This window comes from Homo sapiens, chromosome 3, assembly GCF_000001405.40.
Source record: "Homo sapiens chromosome 3, GRCh38.p14 Primary Assembly".
Taxonomy (NCBI): Eukaryota; Metazoa; Chordata; class Mammalia; order Primates; family Hominidae; genus Homo; species Homo sapiens.
Genome location: NC_000003.12, coordinates 8,363,246 through 8,388,768, shown reverse-complemented (window position 1 = coordinate 8,388,768; position 25,523 = coordinate 8,363,246). Strand labels below are relative to the sequence as shown.

General features: G+C 39.7%; 2 long non-coding RNA genes and 1 pseudogene across 2 annotated transcripts in view, besides 2 other annotated features; all 3 read left to right on the top strand.

Annotated features, from left to right (window-relative positions):
- LMCD1-AS1 (LMCD1 antisense RNA 1) overlaps window positions 1-25,523 on the top strand; it is a 280,512-nt gene that overhangs the window by 112,890 nt on the left and 142,099 nt on the right. The window lies entirely within an intron of this gene.
- Window positions 15,952-16,482: an enhancer, noted in NCBI's record as "H3K27ac-H3K4me1 hESC enhancer chr3:8413973-8414503 (GRCh37/hg19 assembly coordinates)". NCBI's record gives its function as "activates a minimal SCP1, AML or CMV promoter by ChIP-STARR-seq in primed H9 embryonic stem cells {active_cell/tissue: H9 hESC(primed)}" and the evidence as "EXISTENCE:reporter gene assay evidence [ECO:0000049][PMID:30033119]".
- Window positions 16,483-17,015: an enhancer, noted in NCBI's record as "H3K27ac-H3K4me1 hESC enhancer chr3:8413440-8413972 (GRCh37/hg19 assembly coordinates)". NCBI's record gives its function as "activates a minimal SCP1, AML or CMV promoter by ChIP-STARR-seq in naive H9 embryonic stem cells {active_cell/tissue: H9 hESC(naive)}" and the evidence as "EXISTENCE:reporter gene assay evidence [ECO:0000049][PMID:30033119]".
- Window positions 22,991-24,861, top strand: LOC107986010 (uncharacterized). Its single transcript, XR_001740421.2, has 2 exons — window positions 22,991-23,175; window positions 23,393-24,861. It is a non-coding gene; the product is annotated as an uncharacterized LOC107986010 (long non-coding RNA).
- Window positions 24,121-24,240, top strand: RNU4ATAC17P (RNA, U4atac small nuclear 17, pseudogene; annotated as a pseudogene).

The following is a 25,523-nucleotide window of genomic DNA, read 5'->3' as shown; positions in this document are numbered from 1 at the left end:
GTGGGCTTGGTTATCAGCCAGACTGGGCTCACATCTCAGCTCTGCTCCTTTCTAGTTGTATGACCCTCTGTAAATTATTTAGTCTCAGTAAGCCTCACTGTGAAAGTGAATTTTATGTGTCGACCTGACTCCTCTCAGATGTGAGGTGCCTGGATTAAAGAGTATTTCTGCATGTGCCTTTGAGGATGTTTCTGGAAAAAATGAGCAACAGTGGGCTCAGTATAGTGGATGGCCCTCCCCAGTGGGGGTGAGCATTATCCAATCTATTGAGGGACTGGGAAGAACAAAATGGTGAAGAAAGGAGAAAGGCATCTTTTGCTTCCTGCCTGCTTGCCTGAGTTGGGACTTTGGTCTTCTTCTGCAGTTGGACTGGGATTTACACTATCATCTTCCCTGGTTCTCAGGTCTTTGGACTCAGACTAGAATTACAGCTTGCAGACAACAGATGAATGGGAGACTTCTCAGTTTCCATAATCACATAAGCCAATTCAGCCAATTCTTTATAATAAAGCTCTATGTGTTTGTATATACATACAAACATGTGTGTGTATATATATGTGTGTGTGTGTGTTATGTTTCTCTAGGGAACCCTGTCTAATACACTTAGTGTTCTCATCTGAGAAATGGGAGCAATAATAGTAGCTGCCTCAGCAGTTGTCATGAGTTCATTCTTTGTGCTCTCCATTTTTGTTTCAGAAGATTAAATGCAATAATACATGTAGAGGGATTAGTAAAAAGGGCTGAAAATAGTACATGTAATAATAATAAATAATGATCAAATTATTTTTATTACTTAACATTCAGTTAAGTTATTGTGTCTGCCGAAAGAGAAAGATTAAAGACGTATTTTCTCAGTTGCTATGCAAGATTCCCTAGCTATGCGTTTTAATTTTGATTCTGCTCCCAGAGGACCACAGAATTGCATTTGAGTCATGTGGCTTCTGATGTTTCTTCATTCATGAACTGGAAAAAGATTCATGAACCTCTCTTTGGGGCTTCCTGTACATGTTCAAGAATCACTTATAGTTCAGGGTTTGGGTATCCTCTGTAGTATCCCTGACAACTCATCGTGTAAATTCTAACTGGAAATGTCCTGCAACACAAGACTTATTCCTGTGGAGTAATTGGTTCCATGTGTGCATAGTTCTCAAACCATCTTATGCACTTGGTTAGGTAGGTAGATCTTTGCCTTCTCAGCTTCAGCTCTACTGTAATTTTGAGCTGGATCATTCTTTATTGCGGGGGGGTGCCCTGTGCATTGTAGGATGCATAGTAGCATCCTTGGCTTCTACCCACTAGATGTTAGGGGCACACTCCCAGTTGTAACCACCAAAAATGTCTCCAGACATTGACAAATGTCCTTTATGGGCAAAACCATTCTCAGTTGAGAATCACCATTCTTATTAAATATCTTCAGATTTTCCCACTGTTCCCCATGGACCATAGTTTTGGCCAACTTCAACAACCTGAGCTCTCTCACCTGGTTGCATTTTAGTTTGTCAGTGGTTTGCTAATGATGCACAAAGACCACTATAACTGACTGCAGTTGGGCACATTCCAGGCATGATCTGAGGAGCAGGGTGAAACAAGACATCTCCTTCTATTGCAGCCCATGATCACACTGGGATTTTATTTTAGTTATGTATTTATTTTTGATCAACTCAACACATCTTTAATTCTCTTTTTACCCACAGTCAAAGCTGACTGTTGAGGACTTTTCTTGGAAATTAATGTGAAAACTGTAATAACTCCACACACAGTTCCCACAGGCATAATCAAGATCATAAGGCCCAGGAGCGAAGGAGAATCTGTCTCTTTTTGCTTTTCCATAAATCCCGGGTGTTTAAGGTAGTTTTGGTACATAGTGGATGCTCCATAAATATTGTTGACTGTGTCAAGGATTCTGAGACTACTTTCAGGTCTGATAATTTGCTGGAAGAAGTCACAGAATTCAGGTAAGCTATTATGCCCATGGTTATGGTGTCTTTCAGAGAAAGGATACAGACTAAAATAAGTAAGGGAAAAACGTGTGTGGGGTGGAATCCAGGAGATACTAGACACAAGCTTCCAGTTGTCTTCTCCCAGTAAGAGCATATGGAAAACTCTTAATTCTCCTAGCACCGGGGTATGCTGATGTGTACAAAGTGTTCCCAACCAGGGAAGCTCAACCATGACTGGATGTTCAGAGTTTTTATTAGGGGTCAATCACATAGGCATGAAGTACCCAGTTGAGCAGATTTAGCTACTCAGTCTCCATCCCCTCCTCCCCATCCAGAGGTAAAATTGATACAGTATTGCCCAGGGCTCCAGGCAAACAAAAGCAGGCCTTTACCATGAGTCACACTGTTAGCATAAACTGTCTAGCATGGTTCAATTCCCCAGTGATACAAAGACACACTTACTAGGCAGAGTGTTCCAAAGGATTAGAGATGATGATCTCCCAGGGGCAATTGGGGCCAGTTCTTTCTTTGGAATGTGTAGAGTTTGGGTACCTCAAACCTGCTGAGTTTACTGCACAGGCCAAGGTCATAAGCTCTAAGAGGGAAGGGATCTTTGCCTCTTTTTCTCCTTAATAAATCCCAAGGGTTTAGGGTGATCCCAGACACAAACTAGTTGCTTGTATTGAAGTTCTCCACCAGAGAGACAGAACTAATACATGAGTACGTATGTGCATGTATGTGCATATGTATGTATGTATGTATGTATGTATGTATGTATGTATGCATGTGTCTTAGTCTGTTTTGAGTTGCTATAGCAGAATACCAACCACAGACTGGGTAATATATAAAGAACACAGATTTATTTATTACGGTTCTGGTGGCTGAGAAGTTCAAGACTGAGAGCCACACAGATGGCAATTACTTTCTTGCTGCATCATCCCATGGCGGAAGGCGGGAAGGCAAAAGAGGCCATGTGCATGAGAGCATGAGAGGGCTGAACTTGCTTTTGTAGCAGGCCCACTCTCACAATAACAAATCACTCTCACAATAATGACATTAATCCATTAACTTAATCACCTCTCAAAGTTACTACCTCTCAACACTTTTGTATTAGGGATTAAGTTTAAACGTACAACTCTCGGGGACACATTCAAATCATAGCAGTATGTATGTGTGCATTTGTTTTTTGGCTTATGCCATTGAGAAGGCTCACAAGTCCAAAATCTGTAGGACAGGCTGACAGGCTGGAAACCCAGGAAAGAGTTGCAGTTCAGTCCAAAGGGCAGTCTAGTGGCAGAATTTCCTCTCTTTTGAGAGACATCAATTTTTTCCTTAAAGCTTTTACTTGATTAGATAAATTCATATTATAGAGGGCAATGTGCTTTACTCAAATTCTATTAATTTAAATGTTAATCTCATCCAAAAAAACTTTCACAGAAATGTCTAGAATAGTGTTTGACCACATATCTGGGGAGCATGGCCTAGCCAAATTGACATATAAAATTAACCATTACAATGCTATATAAACATGGTTGACAAAGTATGGACCAAGCTTGTTCAACCCGCAGCCAGCAGGTTGCATGTGGCCCAGGACAGCTTTGAATGCAGCCAACACAAATTCGTAAACTTTCTTAAAGCATTATGAAATTTTCTTTTGATTTTTGTTTTTTAGCTCATCACCTGTAGTTACTATTAGTGTATTTTATGTGTGGCCCAAGGCAGTTCTTCCAGTGTGGTCCAGGGCAGACACAGGAGGGACACCCCTCCCACAGACCATTAAGACTGGCAGAGACCAAACCAAATTCGTGTTACTGATAAAGCAACTGAGACCCACAGTGATAATTACCTACTTAGTTTCACTTGGGAATGGAATCAGCCCCAGAATCCAGTTTCCTGACTCCATTTACCTCTCTCACTCTCAACTCTTCCCAACCCTTCTTCCCCTGTAGGGACCTTTGAAAGCCAAAGCTTCTGTTCCCGTTGTCCCCAGGGTTGAGGTAACAACAGGAACTACTCGAGTCTTCTCTTTCATTTCAGCATCACATTCTCCTTCCTACTTATTTCATCTCCAGGAGCTTTTCCCCAGGCCAGTTCAGAGTAACCTCATTTATTGGACTGTATGATAGATTTTTAGTGAAATGGCACCTTCTTCTTTCCTTAGAAACAAGTTGATACCAGTGAGAATGTTTTTCTTGTCCCCTTGGAAAAAAAAATAGGCATCAAATAAAAACAGTGATTTTCTCTGTAACTAAATCAGACAGTGTATCCCCCAGGCTACTGACACAGGAGAATCTGTAGGAGAAAAAAAAATAGCAAATATTTTCAGCCAGGGTAATTCACAGTGAATAAGACAGCAACATATTCCAATTGATAACAGAAATTAATTCAATATTTCATGTAAGGGCAGAAGAGTTCATATCAAATGTGGTCCCCAGATCCCAAATTGAAACTATTACAATTTCCTCTTTCCCTACTAGGGGAAACACTTCACAGTGATGCTATTGCCATTATCCTTTATTTATTTTTTCATAAAGAAAGACTTAGCAATTTGTGTGTTGTTGCTTTCCTAAAATCCTCAGGTCAAGATTTTAAGGGACGCTCAAGCCATTAGAAGTTTTACCACTTTAAAAAAAATTCAAAACATTTAATGTTTTGCTGCTTGAAGCAGATGATTCCAAGTGGCATTCTGGAGTTATGCTTGTTGCTGCAGCTGCTGAAAAAAATTCTTTCAGTGATCAGTTCTCACCGGGGCAGCCACAGCCACAGCATGGAGCACTGGGAAGGAGTAAGGCTCTAGGACTACAGGATGGCAGTGTTTGGCCTTGGAACAGTGTTGGGAAGGCCATGAGGAGGGTGACCGCATCTCCTGGTTCTGTAGGTGCTTCTACGTTGTCTCAGTTTATTCCTGTTGTCCTGCCCTAGCTTGCACGGCACACACACCTTTGCTCGGTTCCTGGAATATGTCTATTAATTTTCTTACTTGAGGCCTTTATATTTTCTGATCCTTCAGCTTGTAGTGCTTTAACCCCAAATACGTACATGGTTGGCTCTTTCATAGCCTTCAGGTCTCAGGCCAAATTGTCAACTCCTCACAGATGTTTCTCAATTATTCTCCATTACAGCAGTGCTTGTTTTTTCCTTCATAGCATTATTCAGTTTCAATTACCTTGTGTATTTTTATTTCCTGTCACTCCACTTCCCCTGCCTTGGTGTCGCTAGTGCCTAGAACTATGCCTAGCCAACAGGAGGCTCTCAGTAAGTGTGTCAAATACATAAAATGAATGAATGAATGAATGAACTGGAGGGTGCTAAATGAATAGTTAATAGAACAAATGTTCTAGCAGTGACAATAGATAAATTTTCCAATCTCAGTGGCTTGATAAAATAAAAGATTATTTTTTATGAATCTCAGTCCAGTCATTGATGGCAGGGTGGCAATGCAGGGTATGAGGGCTTACTCTTTGCTCCATAGAGCCACTCAGGGACTCAGGCTGACAAGGAGTCTTGCCACCTTCATTAGTGGCTCCCAAAGACATTGACATCCAGTCAACAGAGGTGGGAAGAGAGAGAGGATGGTGAATTGCTCAGAAAGTGTTATGGTCCTTATGGACCACTTCTGCCTCTTTCTCTCACTCTTTTGCAGGGAGGATTGGGGGATGGTGAGTATGAGCTCACCTATATGCAAAAGAGGCTAGAAATGTAGTGGGCAACTGCTTCCCAGCAACTACCTTATGAATGGGAGCACTAATTTGTAGCAGATAGCTAGACCTCTCTGCCACTCCTGCTACAGCATTCAGTGCCCAGTGCCACTGCCATTACATCAGGAGTTCTTTGAGGGCAGAGATTGTCTCTTTCATTAGCTGAGCTGAGGGTCTAGCACAATGAATATTTGAATGAATAACCAACCATCTCTTGATCACCAACTATATTTATGGTGCTGGGTCAGGCATGAAACTTAACATGGTTTGAGAACATAGGAAGAGTCCCATAGAACCAACAAAGGAATCCTTTGTCCTTTGAAGAAAAGACAGTCCAACCCCTGACTCCATTACAGTTTCCACTAAAAGCAGAAGATAGCTGGGCAAGTTCTGAAGTGACTTTCCCCACCCAGAAGGAGCAGAATACAATAAAACATTCCAAGAATAAAATCCATCAGCTCAAACACTGTGCAAGGAAATGGCCTGTAACCCTACTTTTTGAGTCTTTCATTGTATTTTGCTCCTTAGAGAGCAGTAAAAATCATTTCAGAACATGATCTGTCATCTTCCAATCTATTTCCAGGGAAAGAAAATGTATTTCCATTCTACATTTTTCTTGACCTCATGTTCTGTTTCATTGTGTGTGATGAAATGGGGAAAAAAAATCAGATCAAGTCACCCAGCACATTTTAAACTCCTATAGGTTAGAAAAGCAGGAAGTCCTTGAATTGAGACCACTGACTGAAGTCACAACCACTCTTTTGTCAGGGGGTGGATTTTTCTGAGGATCCTAGACTCGTGTACTATTGCAGAGATTCAGCTCACAAAGTAGAACATCACATTGGCCATGATACTATACTGATAGGCTTTCACTGTTTTTCTCCTGCATGTGATGTGGAAGAGTTTTGCTGAGTCCTTATCTGAAGGAACAAAGTCGGGAGAAAAATTTTTCCTATAAGATTGTATAGTTTTTGCCAATTCTGAAATCTTGAAAATTTCAGTGGCTAGCTTGAAAGGGAACATCCAGATACGGTTCTGGTGAATTGACACTATTTTGTGTATCTGATGCCAATGATACAGAGAAAACTCCATTTCCATGTCATGCCCCATCCTTCTTTTATTCCCTTTTACCCGCATTTTGGGTCATCACCATAGCTGATTGGCACTCTCTGGCTTTTATTGTCTCCCTATATGTCAATAATAATGCAGTCTGTCATTGTGCCTTACAATTTACTGAGTGCTTTTTACCCAATGTGTGTTGTGGAAACCCTTTGAAACCAACAAAGTGCTATGTAAATGGCTGAGAATTTCACATTCTTAAAATCAGTCAATTGGCCAAGAAGCAGTGTGTCTGATGGCATTATTATTACTTTTAATGTCTCATTTCTATTCTTATAAAAATCCTCAAAGGTAGCCCAAAGTGGGTATTATCCCATGATATGTCACAGTGTCTTGGGCAGTAGTTCACAGGTGAGAAAATGGGGCTGGGCAGATAGCCTGTGTCATGGAGCTGTTATATGACAGAGCCTACCTTAAACCCTCCTAGTCCTATGAAAATTCTGGTGGTCTGGCTCTGTTCTGAATCTAGTGTAACATCGAGAAAACTCTCTTATTGCTGTTACACACATTTCTGAAGTATTTCATTGTGGTGATGAACTCATCCCTGAAAGAAAGGCAGTGTGGTCTACATCTTATTCAGCTCAGACTGCTATAACAAATTACGAATTTTGCCAGGACACAGACATTCAGTTCATAGCATTCTTCCCCAGACCTTCCAAATACATACCGCAAATACACTTATCCCACCCCAACAGCCCCAGATAGCCTTACTCATTCCAGCATCAACTTTAAAATCTAAAGTCCAAAGTTTATCTAAGTGTCAACTATATCAAGTATGGGTGAGACTTGAAGTGTGATTCATCCTTAGGCAAAATTGTGCTAAATCTGTGAACCTGTAAAATCAAACTCTTCCAGCCTCTGTCCATCACCCAGTTCAAAATCCACTTCCACGTTTTCAGGTATTTGTTACAGCAGCATCTCACTTCTTAGCACCAATTTCTTGCCTTAGTCAGCTTGGGCTTCTATAACAAATAAATATAGTCTGGGAGGCTTAAATAGCAAACATTTATTTCTCACAGTTCTGGAGGCTGGAAGTCCAAGACTAAGGTACCAGCAGAGTCAGTGTCTGGAGAGGGCTCTCGTCTTGATTTGCAGATGGGTGCCTTCTTTCTTTAACCTCTTGTGGTGAAGAGAGAAATCATCTTTCTCCCTTGTCTGTTCATTTACGGGCACTAATCCCATCACGAGGGCTCTACCTCCATGACCTAATTACCTCCCAAAGTTCTTACCTCCTAATACCATCACATTGAGGGTTAGGGTTTCAACATATGAATTTGGGAAGAACTCAAACATTCAGTCTATAACACATACAGGCAGAGCACAGGCTGTCAGGACAGACATATTCAGGTTTAAATCCAGGCTCCACTGTACAACACGAGGCAATTCACCTCATACTCTGAGCCTTACCTATGCCCTACAGAAAATGTGAATAAAATGCCTATCTTCATGAAGTCCTTACAACAACTGGAAGTAATGGAGTTATGGTGACTTGTCCCAATTGCTATTGTTGTGAAACAGACATTAGTAACTTGATGTCCCCACACAATAGCCATTTCATTGTGCTTGTGATTTCTGTGGGTTGGGAACTTCTATGGGCATGGGTTGAGGGTAAGAGGGTAGCTTGTCTCTGCTCCAGGATGTCTGGGGAAACAGCTGGGAAGACTTCAATGGCTGGGGGTGGAGATCTATTGCAGGTTTGTTCACTCACGTGGCTGGTTCCTGGTTGGGATGATGACAAGTTTGGGCTCAGCTGGGGCTCTCAACTGGAGGACCTATTGGCCTCAGTGTGGCTGGAGCTTCTCACAGCATGGTGGCTGTGTTCCAACAGGGAGCATCCTGAGGATGAGCATGGCAAAGGAGCCGTACAGAAGCTGGGAGGCCTTTTATGACCTAGCCTTGGAAGTCATGTTATGCCACTTTCACCGTAACTGATCTGACATGTACTTTATAATGCAGTGGCATCAATGAAAAGAAAGGAGCTCTGCTGAAGCTGGTATTTTTATTTAAACATCTCATTTTACAGTGGCAGGTCCCTGTGGCAGGCTCCAGGTAACATAAAGCCTTTTAAAAAATTATGAAACATCACCAAATACAGAAAAGTGCACATATGTAAATATACAGCTGATTAAATTTCAATTAAGCAAATCCCTTTGTAGTCACACGTCAAGAAACAAATGGCCAGAAATGCAGAGCCAAAGCATGACTGCCTCAGTCATAATCTCTCTCCACTCCCTCAAACTGACCGTGGGACCAACTTGTCTGATAACCATTGTCTATGTTTTATCTGTTTTTGAACTTTATGTACATTGAATAATAATGCCTGTATTGATTTGTGTCTGGGTTTTAAATTTTTCTTCCTGTCAATATTAGGTTTGTGAACTCTATATATATTGTGAGTGCAGCTGTGGTTTGTTTGCCATTGCTGGAGAAAGTTCCTTTGTATGAATATTTATTCATTCCACTGCTGATGAACGTGGGTTGCTTCCAGTTGTTTCCAGAAAATAATGCTGTATGCACATTTAAAAATATGTATTTGTTGCACCTGGACGTGTGTTTTTCTTAGTTATCACCTAGGAGAGTATGTTCAGCATGAATATAGAGTGATAAGCTATTTTTCAAAAGGGTGGCACCCATTCTCTTTCCTAGAGGAGCACAACAGAGTTCTGTTTGTTGACATCTTCACCAATACTTGGTATTATTAGTCTTTAACTTTTATCATTATGTTGGGTATGCAGTGGTACATCATTGTGATTTTTATTTGTATTTTTCTGATTACTAATGAAGTTAGTCATATTTTCATGTTTATCAGCCATTTGGACATAACTTTTGGGTGAAATGTTTGTTCTTATCATTTTCTATTTTTCTTTTGGGCTTGTCTTTTCCTTATCGTCTTTCCTTATTGATATATAGTACAGGGTTTTAAAAAATATGTATTATAGGTAGATGGTCTTTGCTTGTTATATAAATGACACATTCCTTTTCTACCCTATGGCTTGTCTTTTTATTTTCTTGATTTGTGTGTGTGTGTGTGTGTGTGTACATTTGTGTGCTGCCTCTTTTGTTCACCTTTATGCTATAACCATATTAGGCTTATTCACATCGTATCAATAGCTACAGTTTGCTCATTTCATGGCTATTCAGTATGCTAGTGTTCTTAATTCTAATATAGTCCACTTACAAATTATTTTCCTGAATGGCAACTGCTTTTTGTATTTTATTTAAAACACTCCTTCTTTATGCCAAGATTATGCATGAAGTTTATTATCTTCTAAAAGCCTTTGCCTTTTTTATTTATATCAGGAGTCAGAAAATTATGGCTGGCAAGAAAATCTAGCCAATGACTTGATTTTGTAAAGTTCTATTGGAACACAGTCAGTCATTCACTTACCTGTTATCTGCGATAGATTTCATGCTTGTATTAGTCAGTGTTCTCTAGACTAGGGACAGAACTAATGGAATGCGTGTATATATATATATATATATGTGTGTGTATATATCTCTATATATATATATATATGAGTTTACTAAGTATTAACTCACACAATCACAAGATCATGCAATAGGCTGTCTGCAGGCTGAGGAGGAAGGAGAGCCAGTCTGAGTTCCAAAATTGAAGAACTTGGAGTCTGATGTTCGAGGGCAGGAAGCATCGAGCATGGGAGAAAGATGTAGACTGGGAGACTAGGCCAGTCTCTCTTTTCACATTTTTCTGCCTGCTTATATTCTGCCACACTGGCAGCTGATTAGATTGTGCCCACCCAGATTAAGGGTGGATCTGCCTTCTCCAGTCCCTGACTCAAATGTTAATCTCTTTTGATAACACCCTCACAGACACCCAGGATCAATACTTGGTATCCTTCAATCCAATCAAGTTGACACTCAGTATTAACTGTCACAATGCTGCAACCACAAAAGTGAGCAATTCCAGCAGACACCATAGAGCCCATGAGCTTAAAATATTTTCTTTTTTTTAAATTATACTTTAAGTTCTGGGGTACACGTACAGAACGTGCAGTTTTCTTACATAGGTATACACATGCCATGGTAGTTTCCTGCACCCATCAACCCATCACCTACATTAGGTATTTCTCCTAATGCTATCCCTCGCCCTGCCCCCACCCCCTGACAGGCCCCAGTGTGTTATGTTCCCCTCCCTGTGTCCATGTGTTCTCATTGTTCAACTCCCACTTATGAGTGAGAACATGCGGTGTTTGATTTTCTGTTCTTGTGTTAGTTTGCTGAGAATGATGGTTTCTAGCTTCATCCATGTCCCTGCAAAGGACATGAACTCATCCTTTTTTATGGCTGCATAGTATGCTGTGGCATATATGTGCCACATTTTCTTTATCCAGTCTATCATTGATGGACATTTGGGTTGGTTCCAAGTCTTTGCTATTGTGAATAGTACCACAATAAACATACATGTGCATGTGTCTTTATAGTAGAATGATTTATAATCCTTTGGGTATATACCCAGCAATGGGATTGCTGGGTCAAATGGTATTTCTAGTTCTAGATCCTTGAGGAATTGCCCACTGTCTTCCACAATGGTTGAACTAATTTACACTCCCAATGTTTTTACACAACAGTGTAAAAGCATTCCTATTTCTCCACATCCTCTCCAGCATCTGTTGTTTCCTGACTTTTTAATGATCACCATTCTAACTGGTGTGAGATGGTATCTCATTGTGGTTTTGATTTGCATTTCTCTAATGACCAGTGATGATCAGCATTTTCTTATATGTTTTTTGGCTGCATGAATGTCTTCTTTTGAGAAGTATCTGTTCATGTATTTTGCCCACTTTTTGATGGGGTTGTTTTTTTTTTCCTTGTAAATTTGTTTAAGTTCTTTGTAGATTCTGGGTATTAGCCCTTTGCCAGATGGATAGATTGCAAAAATTTTCTCCCATTCTGTAGGTTGCCTGTACACTCTGATGATAGTTTCTTTTGCTGTACAGAAGATCTTTAGTTTAATTAGATCCCATCTGTCAATTTTGGCTTTTGTTGCCATTGCTTTTCGTGTTTTGGACATGAAGTCTTTGCCCATGGCTATGTCCTGAATGGTATCGCCTAGGTTTTCTTCTAGGACTTTTATGGTTTTAGGTCTTATGTTTAAGTCTTTAATCCATCTTGTGTTAATTTTTGTATAAGGTGTGAGGAAGGGATCCACTTTCAGTTTTCTGCATGTGGCTAGCCAGTTTTTCCAGCAGCATTTATTAAATAGGGAATCCTTTCCCCATTGCTTGTTTGTGTCAGGTTTGTCAAAGATCAGAGGGTTGTAAATGTGTGGTGTTATTTCTGAGGCCTCTGTTCTGTTCCATTGGTCTATATATCTGTTTTGGTATCAGTACCATGCTGTTTTGGTTACTGAAGCCTTGTAGTATTGTTTGAAGTCAGGTAGCATGATGGCTCCAGCTTTGCTCTTTTTGCTTAGGATTGTCTTGGCTATGCGGGCTCTTTTTTATTTGATTTGATTTGATGTGAAGCTTAAAGTAGTTTTTTTCCAATTCTGTGAAAAGAGTCAATGGTAGCTTGATGGGGATAGCTTTGGATCTATAAATTACTTTGGGCATTATGGCCATTTTCATGATATTGATTCTTCCTATTCATGAGCGTGGAATGTTTTTCCATTTGTGTCCTCTGTTATTTCCTTGATCAGTGGTTTGTAGTTCTCTTTGAAGAGGTCCTTCACATCCCTTGTAAGTTGTATTCCTGGTATTTTATTCTCTTAGCAGCAATTGTGAATGGGAGTTCACTCATGATTTGGCTCTCTGTTTGTCTGTTATTTGTATATAGGAACGCTTGTGATTTTTCCACATTTATTTTGTATCCTGAGACTGCTGAAGTTGCTTATCAGTTAAGAAGATTTGGGGCTGAGATGATGAGGTTTTCTAAATATGCAATCATGTCATCTGCAAACAGAGACAATTTGACTTCCTCTCTTCCTATTTGAATACCCTTTATTTCTTTCTCTTGTCTGATTGCCCTGGCCAGGACTTCCAATGCTGTGTTGAACAGGAGTGGTGAGAGAGGGCATCCTTGTCTTACGCCGGTTTTCAAAGGGAATGCTTCCAATTTTTTGCCCATTCAGTGTTACATTAGCTGTGGATTTGTCATAAATAGCTTATTATTTTGAGATATGTTCCATTGATACCTAGTTTATTGAGAGTTTTTAGCATGAAGTCGTGTTGAATTTTGTCGAAAGCCTTTTCTGCATCTATTGAGATAATCATGTGGTTTTTGTCATTGGTTCTGTTTATGTGATGGATTACATTTATTGATTTGCATATGTTGAACCAGCCTTGCATCCCAGGGGTGAAGCCAACTTGATCATGGTGGATAAGCTTTTTGATGTGCTGCTGGATTCGGTTTTCCAGTATTTTATTGAGGATTTTTGCATCGATGTTCATCAGGGATATTGGCCTGAAATTTTCTTTTTTTGTTGTGTCTCTGCCAGGTTTTGGTATCAGGATGATGCTGGCCTCATAAAATGAGTTAGAGAGGATTCCCTCTTTTTCTATTGCTTGGAATAGTTTTAGAAGAAATGATACCAGCAACTCCTTGTAGCTCTGGTAGAATTCGGCTGTGAATCCGTCTGTTCCTGGACTTTTTTTGGTTGGTAGGCTATTAACTACTGCCTCAATTTCAGAACTTGTTACTGGTCTATTCAGGGATTTGACTTCTTCCTGGTTTAGACTTGAGAGAGTGTATTTTCCCAGGAATTTATCAATTTCTTCTAGATTTTCTAGTTTATTTGCTTAGAGGTGTTTATAGTATTCTCTGATGGTAGTTTGTATTTCTGCGGGATCAGTAGTGATATCCCCTATATTATTTTTTATTGCATCTATTTGATTCTTCTCTCTTTTCTTCTTTATTAGTCTGGCTAGCAGTCTATGTATTTTGTAGATCTTTAAAAAAAAGCTCCTGTATTCATTGATTTTTTTAAGGGTTTTTCTTGTCTCTATCTCCTTCAGTTCTGCTCTGATCTTTGTTATTTTTTGTCTTCTGCTAGCTTTTGAATTTGTTTCCTCTTGCTTCTCTAGTTCGTTTAATTTTGATGTTAAGATGTCGATTTTAGATCTTTCCTGCTTTCTCTTGTGGGCATTTAATGCAATAAATGTCCCTCTACACACGGCTTTAAATATGTCCCAGAGATTCTGGTAGCCTTTGTTCTCATTGGTTTCAAAGAACATCTTTATTTCTGTCTTCATTTTGTTATTTACCAGTAGTCATTCAGGAGCAAGTTGTTTAGTTCCCATGTAGTTGTGTGGTTTTGAATGAGTTTCTTAATCCTGAGTTCTAATTTAATTATACTGTGGTCTGAGAGACCGTTTGTTATGATTTCCATTCTTTTGCATTTGCTAAGGAGTGTTTTACTTCCATTTATGTGGTCAATTTTAGAATAAGTGTGATGAAGTGCTGAGAAGAATGTATATTCTGTTGATTTGGGTGGAGAGTTCTGTAGATGTCTATTAGGTCTGCCTGGTCTAGAGCTGAGTTCACGTCCTGAATATCCTTGTTAATTTTCTGTCTCGTTGATCTGTCTAATATTGACAGTGGGGGGTTAAACTCTTCCACTATTATTGTGTGGGAGTTTAAGTCTCTTTGTAGGTCTCTAAGAACTTGCTTTATGAATCTGGGTGCTCCTGTTTTGGGTGCATTTATATTTAGGATAGTTAGCTCTTATTGTTGCATTGATCCCTTTCCCATTATGTAATGGCCTTCTTTGTCTGTTTTGATCTTTGTTGGTTTAAAGTCTGTTTTATCAGAGATTAGGATTGCAACTCCTGCTTTTTTTCTGCTTTCCATTTGCTTGGTAAACCTTCCTCCATCCCTGTATTTTGAGCCTATGTGTGTCTTTGCACGAGAGATGGGTCTCCTGAATACAGCACACTGATGGATCTTGACTCTTTATCCAATTTGCCAGGCTATATCTTTTAATTGGGGCATTTAGCCCATTTACGTTTAAGGTTATTATTGTTATGTGTGAATTTGATCCTGCCATTATGATGCTAGCTGGTTATTTTGCCCATTAGTTGATGCAGTTTCTTCATAGTGCCGATGGTCTTTACAATTTGGTATGTTTTTGCAGTGGCTGGTACTGGTTGCTTCTTTCCATATTTAGTGCTTCCTTCAGGAGCTCTTGTAAGGCAGGCCTGGTGGTGACAAAATCTCTCAGCATTTGGTTGTCTGTAAAGGATTTTATTTTTCCTTTGCTTATGAAGCTTAATTTGGCTGGTTATGAAATTCTGGGTTGAAAATTCTTTTCTTTAAGAATGTTGAATGTTAGCCCCCACTCTTTTCTGGCTTGTAGGGTTTCTGCAGAGAGATCCACTGTTAGCCTGATGGGCTTCCCTTTGTGGGTAGCTCAACCTTTTTCTCTGGCTGCCCTTAACATGTTTTCCTTCATTTCACCCTTGGTGAATCTGATGATTATGTGTCTTGGCGTTGCTCTTCTCAAGGAGTATCTTTGAGGTGTTCTCTGTATTTCCTGAATTTGAATGTTGGCCTGCCTTGCTAGGTTGGGGAAGTTCTCCTGGATAATATCCTGAAGAGTGTTTTCCAACTTGGTTCCATTCTCCCCATCACTTTCAGGTACACCAATCAAATGTAGATTTGGTCTTTTCACATAGTCCCATATTTCTTGGAGGCTTTGTTTGTTCCTTTTATTCTTTTTTCTCTAATCTTGTCTTTTCACTTTATTTCATTAAGTTGATCTTCAATCTCTGATATCCTTTTTTCTGCTTGATCAATTCAGCTATTGTTACTTGTGTATGCTTCACAAGTTCTCGTGCTGTGTTTTTCAGCTCCATTAGGTCATTTATGTTCTTCTCTAAATGGTTATTCTGGTTAGCAATTTGTCTAACCTTTTTTCAAGGTTCTTACCTTCCTTGCATTGGGTTAGAACATGCTCCTTTAGCTTGGAGGAGTTTGTTGCTACCCACCTTCTGAATCCTACTTCTGTCAATTCATCAAACTCATTCTCCATGCAGTTTTGTTCCCTTGCTGGTGAGGAGTTGTGATCCTTTGGAGGAGAAGAGGCGTTCTGGTTTTTGGAATTTTCAGCCTTTTTGAGCTGGTTTCTCCCCGTCTTTGTGGATTTATCTACCTTTGGTCTTTGATGTTGGTGACCTTTGGGTGGGGGTCTCTGAGTGGATGTGCTCTTCCTTTCTGTTTGTTAGTTTTCCTTCTAACTGTCAGGCCTCTCTGCTGCAGGTCTGCTGGAGTTTGCTGGAGGTCCACTCCAGACCCTATTTGCCTGGGTATCACCAGCAGAGGCTGCAGAACAACAAAGATTGCTCCCTGTTCTTTCCTCTGGAAGCTTCCTCCCAGAGGGGCACCTCTCAGATGCCAGCCAGAGCTCTCCTGTATGAGGTGTCTGTCAGCCCCTACTGGGAGGTGTCTTCCAGTCATGATACACGGGCTTCAGGGGCCCACTTCAGGAGGCAGTCTGACCCTTAGCAGAGCTCGAACACTATGCTGGGAGGTCTGCTGTTCTCTTCAGAGCCGTCAGGCAAGGACGTTTAAGTGTGCTGAAGCTGCACCCACAGCTGCCCCTTCCCCCTGGTGCTCTGTCCCAGGGAGATAGGAATTTTATCTATAAGTCCCTGACTCGGGCTGCTGCCTTTTTTTCAGAGATGCCCTGCCCAGAGAGGAGAAATCTGGCAGTCTGGCCCCAGCAGCCTTGCTGAGCTGCCATGGGCTCCACCCAGTTCAAACTTCCCTGCAGCTTTATTTACACTGTGAGGGGAAAACCGCGAACTAAAGCCTCAGCAATGGCGGACACCCCTCCCCCCACCAAGCTCCTGCAGCTAGTTCGGTGTCTACCCAAAAGGCTGCCCAGTTTTGTGCTGGAAACCCAGGGCCCTGGTGGTGTAGGCACTGGAGGGGATCTCCTGGTCTGTGAGTTGAGAAAACCATGGGAAAAGCCCAGTTATCTTGGCTGGAGTGCACAGTACTGTCCCTAATGGCTTCCCTTGGCTGGGAGAGGGAGTTCCCAACCCCTTGTGCTTCCTCGGTGAGGTGATGCCCCACCCTGCTTCGGCTCTCCCTCCTTGGGCTGCACCCGCTGTCCAACCAGTCCCAAAGAGATAAACTAGGTACCTCAGTTGGAAATGCAGGAATCACCCACCTTCTGCATCAATCTCGCTGGGAGCCGCATACTGGAGCTGTTCTTATTCGGCCTTCTTGCCAGCAGTCCTTAAAATACTTTCTAACTGGCCCTTGACAGAAAAAGCTTGTTGGCTCTTAATTTAGATCCACAACATATTTGGTTGAAGTTGGATTTTTATATTATCAAATGGACTTTTCACTCCCTAGTGGAAGTCTTTCCTTCTTTCCACAAACATTCATTTAGCAGCTACTATGTGCTAGGCATTGGTGATACACAGAAGAGAAATATGGCTTGCATCCTTCAGGATTTCACAGTTTGGTAGCATTGCCCTCAACTTGCATGGGCTTCCCCATACCAGCAGAGCCATGGGTAAGCTAACTCAACAAACACTTCCTGAATAGAACCTAAAATGTGCCAGATGTTATGTCAGGGATAAGAGACTTATCAATAAACAAGCTCTTGTCTCAGCTCTCAAGGGATTCCTAGTCTTGAAGAGTGGCCACACAGAGAGGTGAGTCACTGACACCATGATCAGCCAACACCATGACATACAGTGAGTACTCACAGATATGGCTGGATGACAGAAGTGCTGTGAGAACCCAGAGGGGTCAGAAAAATACCATTTTTATTTTGGCTCATGAAATATGACTAAGATAGAAGTAGCAAAAAAATCCTGATCTTCATGTTATCTGTAAGGAGACTGTGAAACCACCCCTTTCTTTTTCTTGGCAAGCCTCGCCACATACCCGGCTATGAGGAATGTGAACACTGGTCATGGTGCTCATTAAATTAGTCATCTTGATAATTACAGGATCTCAGAAATAACTACTAATCAGCCTGAAGAGAGCGCTTCTCTCAGGATTCACTGAAAATGCATCTAAGATAAGGTTGTTAACTCTGCATATATGTTTAAAGGAAGTTATATATGTTTTTTAAAAGTTATATATTTCCTTAAGGGCTCTTACTAACCTAATATGGTATCAGAATGGCAGTTCAGTATTCCTCCCCTACTGCTTTAAAGCTCTATGTCTTGGGAGCAGATGGTAAGGTATTTGAAGTCTCTATCCATAGAGGAATTTTTTCCCTCTCTCAGTAGACTGTTGTGAAACAGCAGGTATGAGAGGACATTTGTCAGGTGGCTGCAGTTACAAAATAAAAGTACTAACAAAGTCAGCTTATTAGAAAAAAGACAGCCAGGCATGAAGTGGTTTATGACAATCCAATAATTAACCAGTGGCCAAAGCCTGTGCTTTTCACATTTGAGTGATGAATAAGAACCTTCCGCATGCAGTAGTAAATCCCAAGTTGAAATATAAATATTACTTGCTTTATTAAGAGGTTTGATCTCCCAGGCTGTTGATATTGCTAATATTTTATTTTGGTTTTATATCTTGGTGTTTTCACTGATTTGATTTCAAATAACCAAACTGGTTATTTTATTTGCTTTTAATTGACTACATGACCCCATTACACCACTGGTTTTCTCTTTGTAGACTCTCCCATTTCTTTTTTTTTTCTTTTTTAAATCTAGAAATCTAGAATTAACTAAGAGTTTAGGAGAACGGTTCTGCATTTTGCCTGACTGGAACAACTGAGGAAGTGAGTAGGTTGGAACATGACTTATTTGAGATTTCTACTTCGAATTTCTTTTTCTGAAGGTCTCTGGGTTGGGACCATGCTCACTTTGATAGGAAGGAAGTGATACTGTAACTCTGTGCATCAGTTAGTTGCATGATAGGAACGATGACTGACTTACATTATTTAAAATTCAATTTACATGTTCTAGTCTCTTTGTCCATGTAATATTTTTAGATTGGCTTCCTACCGGGGAAGGGTTCCAAACAGTAACTTGGCATCGAGCTTTTTTTTAAAGTATAGAATGGGGTGATGGCAAAGTTGCAAGCATTGGTGAAATGCCAACTGTGTGCCAAGTACTGAGCTAAAAGTATTTAGTGTAGCAGTTGGCAAATTTTTCTACGGAAGAAGAGAAAGCAAATATTTTAGGCCATGTCACAATTACCCATTTCTGTAGTATAGCATGAAAACTGGCATAGATAATACTTAAATAAATGGTGTGGGTCTTGCTGTGTTCCAATGAAACCAAAACCAGGCAGTGAGCTGGATTTGGCTCATGGGCTCTATCTTGTGAATCCCTGATTTAGTGTTGGGAAGGGTTGTGAGAAGTCATCTACTCATCTCCTGTATCCCAGGCTATTGCAAACCTTGGCCCTTAGATCCCAGGGTTTTCCAATGTTGGCTGGGCCTCTGCTACACCTCTTCCCTTCAACCAGAGTAGCACAATCAAATATCCATCTATATTATGGGACTTTGCATAAGATTCACTTGAGCAAAGCATTTCTCAACTAGTTTTAAAAGATTTGAAGACCCTCAATTTTCATCCAACTTTACAGTTGAAGCATTGAGGCTGACAGAAGCTGATTTCCCCCTAAATAATGCGTTTAGTTATTGTCAGAGCTGGGACTTCTACTCAGCACTGGAGACTCCCAGACTCTCAGTTCTAACTACACTGTACGGGCTCCATACTGTCAAAATTCCCACTGAAGGAAGGACTCGTGTCTGCTTTTTGTTTGTTTGTTTTAAATAACAGCCACTTGCCAGCATGAGCAATTTGTGAACAGAAATCATAATATCAAGAGACCGTATGACATTTTTCTGGAGTTGAGAGCGTCAACAATTCTATGTACAGTCTTAAAGCAGATTTTGAACACATATTCTATGACCTTGTCCTTGTGAAGGGTCATACGATCACATCCATACCTTGGATGGTGGGGGGAAAAAAGGTCTGTAATGTAATTTTCTGGAAGCTGGTGACAGCTAGTGTTTATTTTACATCATTATCCTGCTTCATATAGATCCACCCAGCCATTATGTTTCCCTAAAGTCTCTGCCTCAAATATAAAATCGAATTTTGAATTAAATTTAAAAATCTATGATGCTTTTGGCCTTGATGGAAGAAGTGGTACTAGATTCTCCCCATAGCACAGCAGGGAAAACCTAAGAGCCGGAGAACAGAGATTTGTCTGGTGCTGCATGCCCGGATCTGCTACTCAGGTCTGGTGTCCCAGGCCAGTAGAGGTCCGATCAGGTGAAGGCCGTCAGTTACCCAGCCTGGGTGCTGACTCTCACAGGACTTCAGCCCAGCCACCACCCTGGAGACCATTATGGAAATTTTGTGAAACTTTCTAAAGAAGGCAAAAGCCCAAATCAATTTTCAATTTGTATCTCTTCCCCTGAATATAGCACACTGAAACCTCAAACAAAGGTTATTTCAGAAAGGAAACAGAGATGTCTTACTCAGTTAAAGCAAATATTCTTTCTGAACTTTGGCCAATTCCTATACATTCTGTTTATTCTGAAGAGAAGAGGGGAGATAAATAACACAATAGAAAATTCTATTTCAGATAGCCAATTATGAATATGCCCTCTCATGTAAAAATCACATTGTTTTATATGTGTAAATTTAGAATATTTTCTACTGCTTTATTCTCTGGTACAAAATATGGTATTTTTACATAATCTAATTAATGCATTTTGTTGTTTTTGGTGTGAAGCATCACATTGCATTATTCACTTAGAAGACCATATATTAAAGCTCTCTTGATGGAATTCCATTTTGTGCGTATGTCTGCAGTGTATATGCAGTTTGTGCATGCATGTATGTAGTGTGTATCTAGAATTTGTGTATTTTCTCAAGAAAGTAGCATTCAGTAAAACAGTTTTATTTTGCTGCATTGTTTTTATAATTCATTTGTTTTAAGAAAGCAGCATCATTTATGTGAGAATTAATAACAGGGCTTGTGGAAGAAATTGTAAATGTTTTCCTGATGGCTTTTTATATGGCTTATTGTTATTTTTAAATTGTCTTTTAGTTATAGAAGAATTATGGCAACATTGTAGAAAGTATTGAAAGCAGAGGGGAAAATATACCTAGATGTGCAGAGGACTTATAGAAAGGTTTGGATAATTTCAGTTTTCACCTGGATTTAAATCTTGTAGCCAGACTTCTCTGCTTCAGAATTCCAGAGAACTTGATGAACTAGGAGTATCCCCAGCCCCCAACCTGCCTAGATGACCAAGGCACCTCAAGGATCTCTGGGTGGATAAATAAGAATTTAGAGAGCTGAGAAGAGCAGAAGGTGATCTAACTGGGGGGATAAGAAAGCAAATGGACCAGTCTGGAAGCAGGACACAGCACAACACGTTTGGCAAACCAAGGAAGGTGCCATAGACTTGGAATATAGGGTCCCTGGAGTGGAGTAGAGTGGGGAAGGAGTTGAGGTGAAAGGGAGTTTTGAATCAGATTGTAAAGAGGCTTAAATTTCATATTCTGGAGTTGAGGCTTTACTTGTTGGGCAAGGAGTGGAGTGAAGCCCTATCAGAAGCACCTGCCAGAGTCCTGGCTCAAATTCCTCCATCCCAGAGAAAAAGAAATAGATAGGTGGTTATAATTAGCCAAGGAGAAGGCTCAGCCCAGCCATGGCGTGGGGGATGGGATCACAAAAGGAGATGTCCACTTTTCTCTCTTTCTTCTTCATGTCACCTCGTTTCGCCAGGAAACTGCAGGTGCTGCCCACCTCTCTGTCTCCAGCGTCTGGGGTCGTCATTTTAGCCTGTATTCAGGAGGGTAGGAAAAGAAGGCAGCCTGGAATTTAATACGCAATTGACGCTTTGACAGCAACACAGCTGAGCCTGAAGGACCAACCTGAGATGGTTTTAATAGCTGAAAGTGACCAGCAAATTACACAATCAGACTGAGATGTCATTAAGAACATGTCCACCCAGGGAGCCACAGGAATTCTACAAGGGACAATTGGTGATAATTCTTAAAAAAGATAAAAACAGTTCATATTGAGACTACAACAAATTGAGACCACAACAAATTGAGACCGACTTCTAAATAGGTTATAGCACACAGTGATAGGAAATTTAGGTAATGCACATGAGAAAGGATTTATAGAAATGGGTAAGTGTTGGAGTTTCTGTATTATCAAGAGATTACTGTTTCTAGGGACTGAAGGAAGATTTTTTTAAAAAAGAGTCAAGATAATATGGTTTTTTATTATTACGCAGAAGATCCTTCAGTATTTTGCTCAATTTTATAGTGCAATAATATGATTTTGTTGTCTTAATAACTTAATAATTAAAAAAACCTCTTTCCCTATTGAATTGAAATGAGTGTTTTTAGTCTTATTAGTTTTCCCTATTATAACTGTTAAGGACTCCCCCACTGGCCCCCCTCTCCCCTCAACCTGATGAACATTTCAAGTACATTTCTCTGTGGAGAAACTCCTTTAATGGTTGCAATCTATCAAGATGTTCTTTTGAAATTATTACAAAGAAGCATTGTTGGTTAATCAAAAAAGGAAGAAAAATAAGAGGGAACAAAGAAGACACTGTAAAGGAAGCCTGTGCTTGCTGGGCTCTAGATTGAATAGTCAGATTTAAACCCATACTCAGAGAGAAGCTGCAATGTGGGCAACCGCCACACTCATTTTACTCAGCATTCCTGGAGGGCAAGAGGGCAATTCCTAAGGGCCTGTCTATGGGTAATCTGCATTTTGTTAACTTTTATTTTAAGGGAGGGAATGGATTGGAGAGGTAGAAGAGATAGGAGAAAGATGACTCAATAAATGGTTTTGATTTTTGGCAGAAGAAGGAATGGATAGAGGATTATTTATTCAACACACACATACCGGAGAGAACTCATTTTTTTCACTTTTATAAAAAAAGAAATTTTTATCATGACCACTAATGAAAAAATACTATCAGTCATCATAAATAGAAGATTCACATTAATGCATGTTAAAATGTATGTAGTTATTACAATTAAAATAGTTCAGGTTCTGCCTAAAATAATCTCTAGTACCACCCATGTGGGGTTATTTTAGTGAGAGAACTAGTTTTACTCGCTGCCATAACGCAGCTTAAAAAAAAAAAGGTATTAATCTCTATTCTATTGTCATCTAATTTTGAACATAGGCGTTAAGTCCAAAGTTAGATTCATCAATCATAACACAGGAAATGTTACTGACATCCATTAAGAACTCCGCAGTTGATTAGCTCACTTGATTAAATAGCGGTGCAGCTAATGGGAAAACAGGAGAGGAGCCTGCCACTCTAGCAAAGAGAATTTCCAGCTCTGCGTCTCCAGGGAGTAAGAAAAGAGAAATGGAAAATAGAAAACAAAGCTGGCTGCTTCAACAGTAACTCAGTGCTCTCCATAACAGCAATCCCATGCATGGTCTCCAGAGGTACATCTCAGTTCCCTTTTCAATACCCAAAGGTAGGGATTTGGCGCTTTTTTTTTTTTTTTTTTGGTGGGGATGGGTAGGTGGGGGATAATTGTAGCTGTCACTAGAAAAGTAAAACCCCCAAGTTAAAAAAAAAAATCACAGGGTCTGATGTGAAGGATACCTGAATGCTGACATTAACCAAATGTCACCTTTTTGGGCAGCTGCATAGAAATAATGTTGAAATGTTCCTCTATTTTTTTTAAACAGCAATTTTCCTGAGAGATTGGAAAATCAGGAGGAGGCAAGCCGATGACATTTTGATTGCAGGCCCCACTCGGAGAGGCATTGTGGAACTTTCTGGTTAACAAAGTTAAAACCAAAACAAAGTAAATGACGAATCCACCACCTCAATCTGCATTGTATTTTTTGTTTTTAAAGAAAATGGTAAAACTTTTGCTGCTGCTTTTAGTGACTGAGATTTTCAAGAGTGGATTGAAGAAATTATTATCAGTCTGTTTGGCAGCTAAGAAACCTGCTTTGAGATGGGTAGTTGCTTATTAATAATACTGCTTTCCACTTCAGCCTCATCTGTAAGGCACTGAACTAGCTGCTACTGGGTCTTCAACCTACCTTCAGACTTCTACTGCATGAAGTCTTTCCACATCTACTGTGAGATGGATCACTTCTTCTCCGTTCCCAGCACTTTTTGGGTATCTCTCCTATGTCATAGGAGAGACATTACATCTATGTAATAGATGTAATGATGTTGTACAAGGCTGAGCAACCTCAGCCTTGCTCTAAAATTATTTACATCATAGTTTACCATTCTTTGAGGGTGGCACTTTGCATTTCATAGAATAATTGAACATTTAGAGAATTAATTGAATGAATGCATGGATGCAGAGTTGGATGGAGGAATGGATACATGATGGTAGATGAATGAATGGATGGATGAAGGGACGATTGGTCCAGGAGGAAATAGAAAAATAATTGCAACTATTCTTTTCTTGGAGGTGCACTGGTGTCCAGTGAGCATGTAATGCAGGCAGTACTGCTAACACCTACATAACATGCCCCGCATCAACTAGAGCTTCGCTTTACCTCCATATGAAAAAAAACTTATTTTCCAAAAATAATTTTTAAAATTTAAAAATCTGAAAAAAGAGAAGAAGAATTGTGACTTTTACAATACTTGACATTAGATGGATAGAGACTTTGTCATCTTTCTACAGACCTGGATAATGGTTTACTGGGTGATGGTGTTGTTTAAAATATTTTTTGCTCTGTTTTTTGTCATTTTCCTTTGAGTCTACCTTCTATTTTCCTTCATAATCTAGAGGTAATATTTGCCATAGCTTCACATGTAGACTGATTAGGAGGGAACTACAGGGAGAGTTTTATTTTAAACTTATGACTTTTTTTTCCATCACATCTTGAGATAGTCACATAAAAACTTTATGGGACACTATTGATAAATTGTAAGAACATAATAGCCAAAAGCTTTTTCTTTTTCTTTACTTCTTTTTTTTCTTTCTTTGTGTTCATGGCTGTTCTTAATATTTATGCTAGTGGCTTGTAAAAATTAAGTTTATTTTGATTTTTTCTGTATCTTTTTTAATAGAAAAAAAATGACAGAGTAGTTAAAATTTACCCCTAAAGCTATGGAAATAAAAATGATCTATCTTCCAAGTCACCTCTATAAATGTTCTTTGAAATTAAACGGACTGTCTTGAAAACAAGATTGCCAGTTTCCTATTCACTCATAGATGTAATATCAATTGTGTCTCCTATTATTGCCTTTCTAAGTCTTTCGTTTGTACAAAAACCATGTTTAAAACATATCATCATCCAATACAGTGTCTGTAAGAAAAACAAACCATGATTGATTTGGATAGATATGAATGTTAATATCTTTTTCTTTGAATTTCTGGCTTGCATTTTTATTAAAAGTATGATATTAAATATATATATGTGCACCTGATGATAAAACAGGGTATAAGTGCTGATATATTTTAGAGGCAAGAATTGATGAAGGATTGGGAGGTGAAGGATTGGTGAAAAATTGGGAGGTGAAGCAGTATAAAAATGAGTATGAAACCTTCTTAAAATATTTAGCATTACTGTAATAACTGTAATGAACTTGTGACCCAAGTAATTTATGGTCAGAGTGGTGTTAAGTGTTGGTAATAATAATACTAGGCTATGCTGCAAGAACAAATAAACCCTGGTATTACCTTGGTATAACACATCAAAGATAGATTTCTCACTCTGGCAGCCTCTTCCATCTTGATTATGACATCTAGTATTTCTAGATCATTTCTAGATCACCAGGGTGGGAAGAGAGAGCTGGAGAAAGCTCACCAGCTCTTATTTGCATCAGCCTAGAAGGGACATGTAC